Source organism: Homo sapiens, chromosome 9, assembly GCF_000001405.40.
Source record: "Homo sapiens chromosome 9, GRCh38.p14 Primary Assembly".
Classification (NCBI taxonomy): domain Eukaryota; kingdom Metazoa; phylum Chordata; class Mammalia; order Primates; family Hominidae; genus Homo; species Homo sapiens.
Genome location: NC_000009.12, coordinates 124,527,073 through 124,542,804, shown reverse-complemented (window position 1 = coordinate 124,542,804; position 15,732 = coordinate 124,527,073). Strand labels below are relative to the sequence as shown.

General features: G+C 45.2%; 1 protein-coding gene across 6 annotated transcripts in view, besides 1 other annotated feature; it reads left to right on the top strand.

Moving 5' to 3' along the window:
• Positions 1-15,732, top strand: part of NR6A1 (nuclear receptor subfamily 6 group A member 1) — a 254,037-nt gene that overhangs the window by 228,507 nt on the left and 9,798 nt on the right. For 3 of the 6 annotated variants that reach the window (NM_001489.5, NM_001410996.1, XM_047423226.1), the window contains 3 exons: positions 2,618-2,772; positions 4,489-4,713; positions 6,673-6,927. In NM_001489.5, the coding sequence (NP_001480.3) occupies positions 2,618-2,772; positions 4,489-4,713; positions 6,673-6,927 (635 nt within the window). Of the gene's footprint in view, positions 1-2,617; positions 2,773-4,485; positions 4,714-6,672; positions 6,928-15,732 lie in introns of all 6 variants that reach the window. The other 3 variants (NM_001278546.2, NM_033334.4, XM_005251918.6) reach the window with 1 other exon arrangement.
• Positions 6,592-7,092: an enhancer, noted in NCBI's record as "H3K27ac hESC enhancer chr9:127297992-127298492 (GRCh37/hg19 assembly coordinates)". NCBI's record gives its function as "activates a minimal SCP1, AML or CMV promoter by ChIP-STARR-seq in naive H9 embryonic stem cells {active_cell/tissue: H9 hESC(naive)}" and the evidence as "EXISTENCE:reporter gene assay evidence [ECO:0000049][PMID:30033119]".

Below are 15,732 nucleotides of genomic sequence, written 5' to 3'. Positions count from 1 at the left end.
AGGAAGATCGCTTGAGGCCAGGAGTTCAAGACGAGCCTGGGCGACATAGCAAGACAGACCCTGTCTCTACCAAAAAATCAAATAAAATTTTAAAAAACTATTATTGTTACTGGTATGAGCCAAGAGGCAACCACTAAAAGGTTTTATTTAGATTTGCATTTTAGGAAGATCATTCTAGCAGGTAGAAATGGTTTGTGAGGAGTGAGGTGAGGGTGAGTAAAACTGAGGGAGAGAGAAAGCAGTTAGAAGGTTTTCACAGAAGTACAGGCAAGAGATACAGATAATAGTTTGAAGCAGAGCAATGGCAGTGCAGATAGAGGGGAGAGAATAGACTCAAGAGATATTTACTGGGTAAATTTATAGGATTTAGCCAGTTAAATGTGAGGGAATGAAAGAAAGGTGTTCGGAGTTGTCTTAAGACATACACTGATGATGTTTGGGGGATTTCTTATCATATGAGCACAGCGTACATTCAATCAGGCTGTGTGATTCCCAACTCTGCTGTGTTTATTCTTTTTTTCTAAAACATTTTTATTCTCGTTATTCAAGTCATATATATGTCTTACAAATTCTTTTTGTTTCTTGGTCTGGACTAATAGCTGCTCTTTTTTATTATGGCAGAAGTAAAAACCATATAACATGAAATCTACCTTTTGAACAAAATTTTAATTATACAGTACAGTGTTGTTAACTATATACACACTCTGATACAGCAAATCTTTAGAACTTTTCCATCTTACATGACTGAAACACTATACTCATTAGACAGCAGTTCCTCATTTTCCTCTCCCTTTGCCCATGGCAGCCACCATTCCACTTTCTGCTTATAAGAGTTTGACTACTTTAGATACCTCATAAAGTGGAATCATGCAGTATTTGTGCTTCTGTGACTGGTTTATTGCACTTGGTGTAATGTCATCATGGTTCCCCCTTGGTATAGCTTATAACAGGACTTTCCTCTTTTTTAAGGTGTTTTATGTATATATCACATTTTCTTTATGCATTTCTCTGTCATCAGACACTTAAATTGTTTTCACTTCTTGACTATTTTGAATAATGCTGCAGTGAACGTGGGAGTGCAGATATCTCTTCACAATCCTGATTTCAGTTCTTTTGGATTAATACCCATAGATGGGATTGCTGGATCATATGGTGTTTCTATTTTTAACTTTTAGAGGAACCTCCATGCTGTTTTCCATAGTGGTTGCACCGTTTTACATTCCCACTAACAGTGCACAAGGGTTTCCATTTCTTCACATCCTTACCAGCACTTGTTATTTTCTGGACTGGTTTTTTGTTTGTTTGTTTGTTTGTTTTGGGGTTTTTTTGTTGTTGTTGTGTTCTTTTACATACAACAGACATAACAGGTGTGAGGTAATATCTTCAAGTTTTGATTTGTATTTTCCTGATGATAAGTGATATTGAGCATCTTTTTATATACCTATTGGTCATTTGTCTTCTTTGGAGAAATGTCTGTTCAAGTTTCTTGTTCATTTTTCAGTGGGTTTTGTTTTGTTTTTTTTCTGTTCCTGAGTTATGGGAGTTCCTTGTATGTTGTGGATGTTGACCCCTTATCAAATGTATGATAATATATTCTCCCATTTCATAGGTTATCTTTTTACCCTGTTGATTGTTTCCTTTGTTGCACAGAAGCTTTTTAGTTTAATGTAGTCACACTTGGCTGTTTTTGTTCTGTTGTCTGTACTTTTGGTGTTGTATCCAAGAAATCACTGGCAAGACCAGTTTTATGAAGATTTTCCCCTGTGTTTTCTCCAAGGAGTTTTATAGTTTTAGGTCTTACATTTAAATATTTAATCTATTTTGAGGTTGACTTCTGTGAACGGTATAAGGGGTCGATGTCTTTTGGGGGCTGGGGGCGGGGCATGTGGATGTAGTTTTCCCAGCACTATTTGTTGAAGAGAGTATCCAAAATGTGGTGGTAGAAAGCCTCACAAAGGACATGACATTTGGGGTTTTTTGTTTGGTTTTGTTTTGTCTTCTTTTAAGACAGGGTCTTGCTCTGTCACCCAGGCTGGGGTGGGTTAGTGCAATCATGGCTCACTACAGCCTCAATCTTCTGAGCTTAGGCCAGAATCTCCTGCCTCAGTCTCCAGAGTAGGTAGGACTACAGGCATGCACCACCAGGCCCAACTAATTTTTCTATTTTTTGTAGAGACGGGTTTCACCGTGTTGTCCAGGCTGGTCTTGAACTCCTGGAACTCCCAAAGTTTTGGGATTACAGGCATGAGCCACCATGCCTGGCAAGAGGTGACATTTGAATTGAATCTTAAAGGGCAAGTAGGAGATTGTCATTGAGGAGTGGTGTTTCAGGGTTAGGAAAGAATAGCCTCAAGGACAAAAAGGAGTTGAAAGAACCTTGAGGCTTCACGGCTTGAGAGTAGTGTAAATGAGCAGGAGGAAGGCCACGAAGGGCCATGGTGCCAGTAGGAAGGAAGCCACGCCGTCCTAAGATTAGTGAGAGGCCCGGAATATGGGGATGGAGGAGAGGGAACCTAGGTTTCTGGGAAATCCTATGAGATTTAAATAAGCTCTCAGTCCTGAAGAAAGAGCAAGTGTCCTGAGCACCCATCTAACATGTCTCAATTCCTTGTCAAAGATATCGGAAGAAGAAATCGAAAGGATCATGTCTGGGCAGGAGTTTGAGGAAGAGGCCAATCACTGGAGCAACCATGGTGATAGTGACCACAGTTCCCCTGGGAACAGGGCTTCGGAGAGCAACCAGCCCTCACCAGGCTCCACACTGTCTTCCAGGTGAGCTTTAAGGCAAACCCATGGTCATCATCTAGGGATCCCCCACCAAAGGGAGAGCTACAGAAAACCTCTGGCTGAGTATCCCTGCCAGGCTGTCTCAGCCATTGTACTGTTGCTCCCTCAGACTCTTGGAGTAGGGGTCAGGAAGATTAAAAACAGTGTTTCCCAGCCCCTTTTATGCTAAAGACCTTGAAAATGTCAGTGGTCTCTTCTGCAGACTGATAAAGTGCTATAGCTTCTATCCATGCCCGTGCATTCTTCACCTAACAGAATAACATTTTAAATGTTGCCATTTTCCCTCATTTATTTTATCACTGAAATAAACCTTTTTGACAGTTTTGAATTAAACTGTAATTTCTCTGCCTCACAAGAGTCAATGTTTTTCACTTTATAAATTTTAAGAAACATTGAAGGCTTTTTAAGCCAGTCAAATTTGCTGCTATCAGAGAATACAAACTTAGAAACTCTTGGTTCAAGCATATCTTTAGTTAGTTGTCGAGTGTGAAATAGATCCTTCAGCTATTAGGGAAGCTTTCCTTTCCCCAGAAACCTTTCTTATAGGATATGGATTGACAAACTTTTTCTGCAAAGGCCAGATAGTAAATATTTTCAGCTTTCCGGGCCTAATGGTTTGGATCTCAGCTTCTCCATTCTGCCTTTGTAGTGTGAAAACAGCTATGGCCATGGACATTATGTGAACCAGTGAGCATGGCTGTGTTCCAAAATAGGCAGTGGGCTGGATTTAGCTTGCAAGCCAAAGTTTGCCAACCCCAGTTATAGGAGATACATTTAGGCAAAAGCTGGAAGATTTTTTTTTTTCTTAAGAGATGCCAGGCATGGTGGCTCACATCTGTATTCCCAGCACTTTGGGAGGTCAAGGTGGGTAGATTGCTTAAGTCCAGGAGTTCAAGACCAGCCTAGGCAACATGGCAAGACTCTGTCTTTTTTTGTTGTTGTCGTTGTTAATTAAATACTTTTTTTTTTAAAAAAAGAGATGGAGTCTTGCTATGTTGCCCAGGCTTGTCTCAAATTCCTAGCCTTAAGTGATCCTTCCACCTCAGCCTCCCAAGTAGCTGAAACTGTAGGTGCACACCACTGTGGCTGGCTTAGGTTTTTTTTTTTTTTTTAATTAGTTGACAGAGTGGTTAGCTTTCTCCAAGAAAGGAAAGGAAGGCAAAAATCTACCTTTGTCTTCATATTTAATTAAAGCTTTTATCCCATTCAGGTGCCCCTTCGTTTGTTCTTTCCTTGGACTATTTAGGGGGTTGTTGCCACATGCCGGGTTCCTTGCTAGATGCTGGATTTGTTTTGTGGCCTAGCCAGGACTTAGCCTGTCTGTGCCTTAGTTTTCCTAGCAGTATTATAATATAAATACCTACTTTGTCATCATAGTCTACAAGTATCTGTTAAAAAACTGTCCAGACATGGCACCTATACAAAGAATTCATTCAACCAATATTTATTCATTACCTACTCTGCCATGCACTGAGTGTCCAGTGGCGACCCCAACATTCATATACCCATAGAGTCTTTGTCTTACAGATGGGAATCTAGTAGGAGAGACATGAATTTAACTATTAATTATGCCCCCTGGCTTGATGAAGACACATACCTCATGTTCAAAGAATACCTAAAGTCACCTTCTGGCTCACTTCCTTTGAGTAATTACTAGACTTGCCATGGCTCTGTTTGACGCAAGACTTTTCTCTCCAGTAGGTCTGTGGAACTGAATGGATTCATGGCCTTCAGGGAACAGTACATGGGAATGTCTGTGCCTCCACATTACCAATATATACCGCACCTTTTTAGCTATTCTGGCCACTCACCACTTCTGCCCCAACAAGCTCGCAGCCTGGATCCCCAGTCATACAGTCTGATTCACCAGCTGTTATCAGCCGAGGACCTGGAACCATTGGGCACGCCCATGTTGATTGAAGATGGGTGAGTGAGCTCCGCCCTTCTTGGCCCCTTGCAGTCTCAAAGTGTCCCTACCCCACACCCACTCGCGTCCCTGGCTCCTATACCCGTGGCTTCAGAATGAGTTGGGGGGATAATGACTCAAGTGTCAGGGGACAAATCTGTGCTTATCTTTGAAACCAGTGATCCCTTATTTTTTCCTTAAGCATCCTTTCTCATAGAGTTGAGGTTACTTTCCAGTTCCTATGGAATTGAGATAGAAGGGCCTTTGATTCTGCTTGGGCCTAGGTAAGCCAGGTGCTGGGATGGGTCAGAGCACTTCCATGCTAGAGATGAGCAGTAATTCTGGGAATAGTTATATATCGGATATAGGCTCCTTCACAAAGCCCTGGCTGGTTGTAGCCTGTCTGCACCCCTCACCAGCATCCCCATGGCTAGCCTGGTGGCATGTGACCACTTTAAGTGCAGGCTTGAGTGGGTAGAAGGAGTATTCTTTCAGTCTTTAGTCACTTCTACCTGAGGAGATAACAGTTCAGCCTTCGGGCCTACCCATTGCTGCATCCATTACTCCTTTGGCCTAGAGCATAAACGATTTGAGTGTTATCAAGCTTAGACCTCCCAGGAAGGTATCCTGAGATTTCTTAAGCTAGTCTCCAGTTTCAGAAGAGGAGATTAAAATATCTACCCACAAGGAGGTCACACAAACCCTTTGTAAATCTAGATGTAGGAAGCCGGGCGTGGTGGCTCATGCCTGTAATCCCAGCACTTTGGAAGGCCTAGGTGGGCGGATCACCAGGTCACGAGTTCCAGACGAGCTGGCCAACATGGTGAAACCCCGTGTGTACTAAAAATACAAAAATTAGCTGGGTGTGGTGGCACACGCCTGTAATCGCAGCTACTCAGTAAGCTGAGGCAGGAGAATTGCTTGAACCCAGGAGGTGGAGGTTGCAGCGAGCTGAGGTTGCGGTGAGCCGAGATTGCGCCACTGCACTCCAGCTCTGGGTGACAGAGTGAGACTCCGTCTCAAAAAAAAAAAAAAAAAAAATTTAGATGTGGGAGTGTGAGGAAAAGTCTTGGCAAGGGGCCTTGAGAGGAAGAAAGCTGAAACTCTTGGGTCTGTGAGTCTGTGGTCTCAAAGCCGGCTTTTATTCCAGTTTTAGCTTAAAGGAAAGGCTGAGCAATGCTGGTTCCTGAACTCACCACCAGGGGGTGGAGTGAGAGCAGAAAAATCTTCTGAACTTGTTCTCTTTCCTTCAGTGGTCTGGACGCGAGGCTTATTTTTGTGCCAGTTCCTTTGTTAGGTGGGCATCAGATCCACCCCATTAGAGTTCCATTGCCAGAACTTGAACAGGAGTGACTTGGATTTTCTCTAAGACATGGAACATTAGAGAACACCAACAATAAAAGTCATATTCCCTGACAATTGGACACATTTCTTTTTTTTTTTTTTTTAGACAGAGTCTTGCTCTGTCACCCAGGCTGAAGTGCATTAGCGCAATCTCAGCTCACTGCAATCTCCGCCTCTCAGGTTCAAGTGATTCTTCTGCCTCTGCCTCAGCCTCCCGAGTAGCTGGGATTACAGGCATGTGCTACCACGCCCGGCTAATTTTTGTATTTTTAGTAGAGATGGGGTTTCACCATGTTGGCCAGGCTGGTCTCGAACTCCTGAACTCAAGTGGCCTCCAAGTGCTGGGATTACAGTCATGAGCCATTGCACCCAGCCAATTGCACACATTTCTAAGTCTCCTTTCCCCTTAGCAGCCTTTCCTCACCAGACCCGCCTCTCCAGCCCTGAACTTGCTGCTGGCCTCAGCCTTCCCCCTTTATCAGAAAATCACACTGAATGGAACTGGAGACCCGTGGGCATGGAGCAAGGAGCCCATTGCCAGGGTCCCTTTGTGCCCTTGGGACTACCTTCTCTCTGTACCCTTATCCTCACCCTCTGACCAATGGAAGTGACTTTCCCCTGTCCCTGCCCCTCAGATACGCTGTGACACAGGCAGAACTATTTGCCCTGCTTTGCCGCCTGGCCGACGAGCTGCTCTTTAGGCAGATTGCCTGGATCAAGAAACTGCCTTTCTTCTGCGAGCTCTCAATCAAGGATTACACGTGCCTCTTGAGCTCTACGTGGCAGGAGCTAATCCTGCTGTCTTCCCTCACCGTTTACAGCAAGCAGATCTTTGGGGAACTGGCTGATGTCACTGCCAAGTACTCGCCCTCCGATGAAGAACTACACAGGTGAGGCCTCCTGGCTGGGGAGGAAATACCAAACAACCAAACAATTGTCATCCCTGTAAGGCAGAGTTGCCTGGCCCTTCAGAGGATAGGCACTACACCTCATAGGCCTGGATTTGAATCCTCACTCTGCCACTGACTAGATTTGTGACCTTGGCCAAGTCTCTGATCCTCAGGTTCTGAACTGGTAAAATGGGGTGATAACACAATTTCCCCAGTAAGATGGTTGTTAGGAATACATTTTATGCATTCAAGCTTAGCAGAATGCTAAGCTGTAATTTTTTTTAAATTAATTTATTTTTTGAGACAGAGTCTCATTCTGTCGCCCAGGCTGGAATGTAGTGGCGCAGTCTTGGCTCACTGCAACTCTTGCCTCCCGGGTTCAAGTGATTCTCCTGCCTCAGCCTCCCAAGTAGTTGGGATTACAGGTGCCTGCCACCACACCTGGCTAATTTTTGTATTTTTAGTAGAGACGAGGTTTCACCATGTTGGCGAGACTGGTCTCAAACTGTTGACCTCAAGTGATCTACCCGTCTCAGCCTCTCAAAGTGCTGGGATTACAGGTGTGAGCCACTGCACCCAGCTGATCTTTATTATACTTGGATTACTGAGATAACGCATCCAGGAAAAATAAAAATATAAATTCTGCCTACAAGGCAAGAGAGGCTCTGAACTGGAGTTTACAATCCAAGAAAGAGACCTAGGGGTCATTTTGGTGCCTATAGTGTGCCAGGCATTAGGCTAGATTTTTTTTTTTGAGACGGTGTCTGGCTCTGTCACCCAGGCTGGAGTGCAGTGGTGCAATCTTGGCTCACTGCAAGCTCCGCCTCCCGGTTTCATGCCATTCCCCTGCCTCAGCCACCCAAGTAGCTGGGACTATAGGGGCCCGCCACCACGCCCGGCTAATTTTTTGTATATTTAGTAGAGATGGGGTTTCACCGTGTTAGCCAGGATAGTCTCGGCCTCCCGACCTCATGATCCGCCTGCCTTCCAAAGTGCTGGGATTACAGGCGTGAGCCACTGCGCCCGGTCTAGACTAGATATTTTTAATTGTCTTCTTTCTTTCTCGCAGCCTCCAGCCTTATAGGTGGTGTTGTGCCTATTTTATAGATGAGAAAACTGAAATTCAGAGAGACTTTCCCATAAGGGTTTGGGATTTGAATCCAGAGCCTTAGATTTGAGCATATGCCTGCCTGCCTGAAAAGCTTAGGTTCTTTGACTCCGTCTGAGATGTGGTGAGATGTTGAAAGGATAGGACTAAAAGACTGAGCTATTCTCTTTGTCATTTTCTGGCATAAAATTTTATCCCAGCTGTCCAGTATCCTTAAAACCTCCCTGTCCAGAGTGGGTTGTCTCCCTGCTGTTCTGGGGCCTGTCCAAGCACACTTTTTACTCATTTACTCTGCAGACCTGGAGCACAGGGTGACCATATTTTCTGACCCCTAAAATCAAGACAGATGATCTGCTGAGATGACTTTCTGCCTTGTTAATCCATATGAAAAGTCTTATAGCCAGGCACGTGGCTCATGCCTGTAATCCCAGCACTTTGAGAGGCCGAGGCAGGTGGATCACCTGAGGTTGGGAGTTCGAGACCAGCCTGACTGACATGGAGAACCCCTGTCTCTACTAAAAATACAAAAATTAGCCAGGTGTGGTGGCGCATGCCTGTAATCCCAGGTACTTGGGAGGCTGAGGCAGGAGAATCGCTTGAACCTGGTAGGTGGAAGTTGCAGTGAGCTGAGATTGTGCCATTGCACTCCAGCCTGGGCGACAAGAGCGAAACTCCGTCTCAAAAAAAAAAAAAAAAAGTCTTATAATGCTTAGTTTGTATTTAAATAGACATTTCAATAAATGACCTTTATTGGCCAATTCAAAATACTGGAAGTCATGGGATTCCAGGGCACCAAGAAGGAGAAAAGAAAAGGTGCCCCTGGCCGGGTGCGGTGGCTCACCCCTGTAATCCCATCACTTTGAGAGGCTGAGGCAGGCAGATCACGAGGTCAGGAGATTGAGACCATCCTGGCTAACATGGTGAAACCCCGTCTCTACTAAAAATACAAAAATTAGCCGGGCATGGTGGCGGGCGCCTGTAGTCCCAGCTGCTTGGGAGGCTGAGACAGGAGAATGGCGTGAACCCAGGGAGGTGGAGCTTGCAGTGAGCCAAGTTTGCACCACTGCATTCCAGCCTGGGCGACAGAGCGAGACTCCGTCTCAAAAAAAAAAAAGGTGCCCCTATCCATGAAAGTTGGAGAGGGGAAAGTAGCAGCCCTTACACTTTCTTCACAGAACTGGGATCCATCTCCCCCTCCCACCCAGTTGTGGCATAAAGACAAGCCAAGACTCAGGAAGAGCACAGTGCTCCAAGACCTGCAAGGGCCCTTTGCACAGCTAGGGGAGGGAGGAGTCAGCTTGCTGACTCTCTCTACTTGTTTTCTAATATTTCCTTATTAATGATGCTTACTGGCTTCAGGGTGATCTGTAAATGACAGAGTTTTGAACCCAGCTGACACTCTGTCTGGTAAATAGAGCTATCTGATTTTGCAGTTGACCTAACCCCTTGTCCAGAGACTCTAATTCATTGTTTCCATCAAATTCCTGTCTCCTGCTCCATAACTCTGCTCCATAGGGGTGTTTGGATAGCAGTCAGCCTGCTCTGATGCTGTCAGGGTTTGCAGAGCTGGCCCAAGGATCCCAGCCTCTCTGGGTGCCTGGAATCTACCAGTTCGGCCTGGGACTACAGGATCAGCCTTTGGACTCCACTTCCAAGTAATGGGTTTGCCCAGGCCCTCTGCAGGCAGGCAGGGGTCACTGGCAGTACAGGGTTCTCTGGCTTTGAGCTTCATAATGCATCCCATCTCACTGTAGCCAGTCCCTTAAGCCCCAAGACCAAGGCAGAAGTCAGTAACAGCAGAAGTAGTGAGGAAACTTTTCCTTCCTTGGTAGGAATTTTTCTCATCAAGGAGGATCTAAAGCTGTACCGTCCACTACAGTAGCCACTAGCCTCATTTGGCTTTTAAAATGTAAATTTATTAAAATTAGAAATTTAGTTCTCATTTGCACCAGCCACATTTCAAGTGCTCAGTAGCCACGTGGCGAGTGGCTACTAGTACAAATAAAGATCATTTTTATCATCACATAAAGTTTTATTGAGCGTTGCTGTCTTTAGAACATGTGTTGCTGCTGAGCTGTCAAGTGGCTTCTGAGAATAGGAATGGATTTGTTGTTAGGACTCTACTGTGGAATCCATCGATGCAAAAATAACAGTTAAACTTCAACATGTTAGTTCTGATTCCATGGCCATTTACTGAGTATCATGTGTTTTGTGGGGAGGAAGCTGGGATCACAGGTGATGCAGACATGGTTTCTGACTCAGAGTCCCTATCCTTGATTTAGTGGACTGGGAGGCAAAAAGAAGCAGATACAGCTTACAGTGCAGGGTTGTGTTGGTGGAGATGGCGGGGCATCCGAAGAGAACTGTACAAGCATAGACCAAGGAGTGAGTACGTCTGTTCACAGGGTCAGGGAAGACTTACCAGAGGAACAGACATTTGAGCTGCACCTTGAAGTGGGAATTTCTAGGAACGTTGTAGAGAACAGGAAGGAAGGAAGGCAGGAGATAACACAAAGTCCTAGAAGTTAGAGATCCTGGATGGTTGCTATGTGCAGGGAATCAAAAGCAATTTTGTGGATTTAGGGTATAAAGAGAATGTATCTAAGACAGAGAAATGAGGGGAGAATTGACTAGAGAGAAAGATACAGGCAAGACAGGTCATGAAGGTGCTCAAATGTCAATCTAAATAATTTGGGGTTTGTTGTGTAACTAGTATTAAGTCTTGGGAAGTTTTTAAGTGGAGGAATTACAGAGTCAGGTTGCATTTTAGAAAGATCTCTATGGCAGTAAAGTTCAGGATGGATTGGCGTGGACAAGACCGGAGCATGGTGGCTGGGTAGGAAGGAGGCTGTTCCATAGCCCACGTAAAAGGGAACAAGGCCTGGACAAAGCAGCAGTGACTGTGGAGACAGAGAGTGGAGCACAAAGCCAAGAGATGTCAAGGAGATAAAGTCAGTGGGACTTCAGCGAGTGGAAAATGTTGGTGATGACTGCTGATTTTTTGGACTAGCCAGGCAGGTGGGCACCAATTTTCTTAGCCAGGATGAAGGAGCAGGGAAGATCAGGATGGGAGATGAGTAACTCTGAGTTTGGTTTAGGTGTCTGTGGAGTCTGAGGTGCATGTAGGACTGCCTAGGAGGTCATAGGAAGTGGAAGAACCTCTAGAGTCAGGTTAACCACTGGAAAGCAGTAACCGCTCTGCTAGAAACCCAGGCTGTGGAGTCTGTAATTGGCCATAGCACTCTCCTACCTTGCCTGCTACTGCCTTGCTCCCACTCCCCCAGATGGCCTTTACTTCTTCACAACTCTTGAGTGCAAGTGAGTTCCTGCTGTCATGGAAAGGCTTTTCCCAGATGATACATGATCACCTCCTTTTCTCTTCTCAAATATTGAATCAAATTTATGGTGCCCATATTCCTTAATCACACCGTTATCAGACAGTGAACCGGGTGAATTTGATTTAAAGCAGATTGTAGCACCAGCCAGTGACTGCTCCTGGCCCTAATCAAGACTCCTCTCAGGAGAAGATGCCTTGAGCTAGATGGGCTTTAATGGGTACCTCTATCTCATGAGCACCAGCTCCATTTCTGCTAGATCTCTGGAAAGTTGCCTCCCAGCTTCCCTGCCTAACTATAAGGCTCAGGAAACAGGCTTTTATTTTTGCTACAATAATGGGAGAGAGATGATGATGCTATTTGTAATGATAACAGCTAACAATTATGCCAAATTCTATCTTAAGTGCCTTACATACATTATTTGTTGAATTCTTACTGCTACCTTGTGTGACTGGCACTAATATTATCCCTGTTCTAGAGATGAGGAGCATGAGGTTGAGAGGTGAAAATTAAAGGCTACAAAGATAGAGATGGAGCTAAGTTTATCACCTGTATCTGTTGTGCTCCAATGCCCAGCCTCTTTAACATTGCCTTATACTAAATTCTTATTTTCCCAGAGCATTTTCAAAAGGTTTGACTTTCTGGAATTTGTCCTGAAACTAGTCTTAGTTTTCGTCTTGGAGTCTTTACATGGGTGCTGAGATGGCAGTTTCTCTAAGGTTGTGGCTGATGGCCACTCCTGGGGGTAGGTGCATTTAGATCAATGAAAAAGAGACAACTGAGTTTCTCAGCCCCCTTAATGGGACATAACTTACATAGTGTCAGTTTCAATTGCTGACTGAATGGTCCAGTGGTTTGGGGGATCCTGGCAGGAATGTTTTCCTTGTCCCAGCATGCTTGTGTAATGGGAACCTAGAAGAAGAATGGGTGTGTTTGTCCAACTTTCTGGCTTTGAATGCTGATAATTTGTAGACAGTGAATACAGGGGCATTAAAACTGGAGTGGGCAGATGTGGAGGAGGCACGGCTGCAGGCAAAGGCAGGCCCGTGGAACAGAGAACAACTTTGTTTATCAAGGGGTGGGATGCGGGGTGTGGAGGAAAGCTTTGCAGTCAGGCTGTGGAGACTGAGTGGGGGCTGCTAGGCTGGCTGCCAGCCCCCATCACTGCTGGGGGTCCACGGTGGCTGCCTGTTGGAGGAATTTTGGAAAAGAAGGATGTGCTGTCCGCAAGAGAAAGGGCAGATCTAGGGTGTATGGACAGGCCAGGCACTTGGGAACTCCTTTGTGTCCCTCAGGTCAAGAGTCAGCCAGGAACAGGTTTGGCACTCCTGGCTAGGGGTCTGGCTGATAGCCACACACCTGCAGGGTCTGGAGTGCCAGAGTGAACACTTGGGGCAAGGGGTTGCTGATTAAAGGACAGAGCATTATCTTTGCTTGCTACATACTAGGCCACCAGACAGATGCTGACACTGCCTCTCCCGTTGTGTCCTCCTTTTTTGTGCCCTACCCCATTTCATCCCCACCCCTCCAGTCAGATACTGAAAGAAATTGGCAGTAAAGAACTTTTTTTCCCACTCCCAAGAACATAAATATCCAACACAGTGCTATGATGAGGAGTGGTCTTCACTCCCAGGCACACCGCCTCCTGCAAGTCTTAGCATCCTGGAGGCACTTGCAGTGGCAGTTCTGTGCACTGTAGCAGACCTGACATCCTCCCAAGGTTGGGCCCTGCTCTGAGTTGCTGTGGGGACACAACTCCTGAGGTCCCCTGTGGTAGTATGTGGTTAGCCTTTTCCAGGTAGCAGCTAAGAACAAGACAGGATCAAGGGTAGGCAGTGTAGTGCTGAGAAAAGTCCATATGCTTGGAATTAGAAAACCTAGGTTTGAACATTGGCCTCACCACCACTACCATTTACTTCCCGTGCAACCTTGGGGTAGCCATCTCTTTTTCTGCTTCCTCATCCCTAACATGGAAGTGATACTTACTATGTATCCTTCCAGGTTATCAGGAAGGTAAAGTGTAAGAATGCATATGAAAAGGCCTAATACATAATAGAGACTCAGTAAATAACTCCCTGAGCCTTCATTTCCACATGTAAACAAAGGGGGTTATGATTTGTATCCATTCTGTGAATTTATTGGGAATATCAATAAGATTAAATGTAGAATACTTAATGTGCCTCGCAGGTAGCAGACACTCAACAAATGGTAGAGTGGTAGAAACGGTATTATAGATTGGTGGTTATTGTGGTTATTCAATATGAATGTATCGGCCAGGCTGGGAATGTATCAGTAAAGTTGTAAAAGCCATTGGGCCAGGTAGAGAGAAACTGAGTCAGCCATAGTAGCTCAAATCAGCTAAAAGAATCCCCAGCTCATACTAGGAGCCATGCCAAGGCCGAAGGTCAACGTTCCAGATTGCATGTGCAGTCATCTCCAGTATCCGTGGAGGATTGCTTCCAGGACCCCCATGGATGCCAAAATCTACAGATGTTCAAGTCCTTCATATAAAATGGTGTAGTATTTGTGTATAATCTACGCATATCTTCCTATATATTTTAAATCAGCTCTAGAATCCTTATAATACTGGATGCGATATAAGTGATGTAAATGCCATGTAAATAGTTATTACACTGGTTTTTTGTTGGGGGAGGTTGTTTTTTTTCTTTTTTAGGTTTTTTGGTTGGTTGGTTGGTTGGTTTGGTTTTTGGTTTTTTGTTTTATTTTTTTTTTCTGAGACAGGGTCTCACTCTATTGCCCAGGCCAGTGCAGTGATAACAGTCACAGCTCACTGCAGCCTCAACCTCCCACGCTCAGGTGATCCTCCCACCTCAGCCTCCCGAGTAGCTGGGTCCACAGGCACGCACTACCATGCCCAGCTGATTTTTGTATTTTTTGTAAAGATGGAGTTTTGCTATGTTGCCCAGGCTGGTCGTGAACTCCTGGGCTCAAGCAGTCTGCCTACCTCAGCCTCCCAAGGTGCTAGGACTACAGGTGTGAGCCACCACACCCAGCCATTATATTGTGTTTTAAAAATTTGTCTTTTTTTATTGTTGTATTGTTTTGTAAAAAAAATATTTTTGATGGAGTTGGTGGAACCCAGAGATATAGAACCCATGGATACAGAGAACTAGTTCTACCTGCTGCTGAGGCTCCCCTTGGTACTTAAAAAGGGCAGGAGCCTCTGGCCCCAACCAGAGCCAGGCTTTCCCCAAGCAAGAGAAAGTGTCCTGCTTGTCCAGGAAGCCTAAGCCTGCAAAGCCTTCAAAGTTAACACAGAAAGCAGTAGATTCCAGAAAGCAATAGTTCATCCCCAGGTGTTCTGGACCCTACCCAGATAGGGCCTTCTTGGCTTGGCACAGGCCTGTAGTGCGCAGATCTGAAGATCTCACCAGGAAGCATGCCTGAAGCTAAGCTGCTTCTCTTTGTGACTGAGCTGTATCTAAGGCCTATTCTGGGACCCACTGCCCACTAGCCAGGCCACTCCTAGAATGACTCAGGCCAGACTTGACCTCGTCTTTTATAAACTCCTGCTTCCTGATTAAGTGTTTGCCTCCTTGGTTTTATGGTATCTCCATCTCTGGTATGAAGTATACCCAAAACATTAATCCCCTGGGGTGGCCTAGCCTGGGGCTCCGTTGCCTAAAACTTGGTCTTTCCTCAGAGAGCTCACTCCTAGACCCAAAGAAAAGAGCATGGGGGCTTTGAGCCACTTCTGCTAGGGTACACCACCTTAGATACTGGAAAAACCAAGGCTTTGGGTTCAGGTTCCAAATTCCTACTCTGTCACCAATTAACTGTATTTGTGGACCAGACCCTCCCTTCTTTGAACTTCAGTTGCTCATTTGTACAGTGCTGATGATTATCTCACCTAGCTCATAGGGTTGAGAGAATTAAATGTGATAATGCTCACAAAGTGCCCAGCACAGAGGATGGCGTGGTATGGAAACTCAGTTAACGTTTTCCTCCCTCCTGCCAAAGTCAGGGATGCCAATAAAAATTTTCACTATGCATAACCTCAGCTCTGCTGGAAACAGTTAACACAAGCAAATACAATCAGCAGCTTTTTTTGCAGTGTGGCAGAGGCTCACATAGAGTCACCATGGCAGCTGCCATTGATACCAGAGGCTGAATCTCTACAATAGCTGTATCTTAATAATGTTGTACTTCTCCACATTTATATCCCAGACCTTCTTGGGCCCTTGTTAGCCCAAGAATGCAAGCATTATCATTTTGCAGAGGAGGACCTCAAAGCATAGAGGGGTCAGATGACCTTGCCAAGATCTCATAGCTTGTGTGTGATGGAGCTGGATTTGAACCTAGGTTGACTCTACCTGACCTTGGAAAAAGCAGCTTGCATGA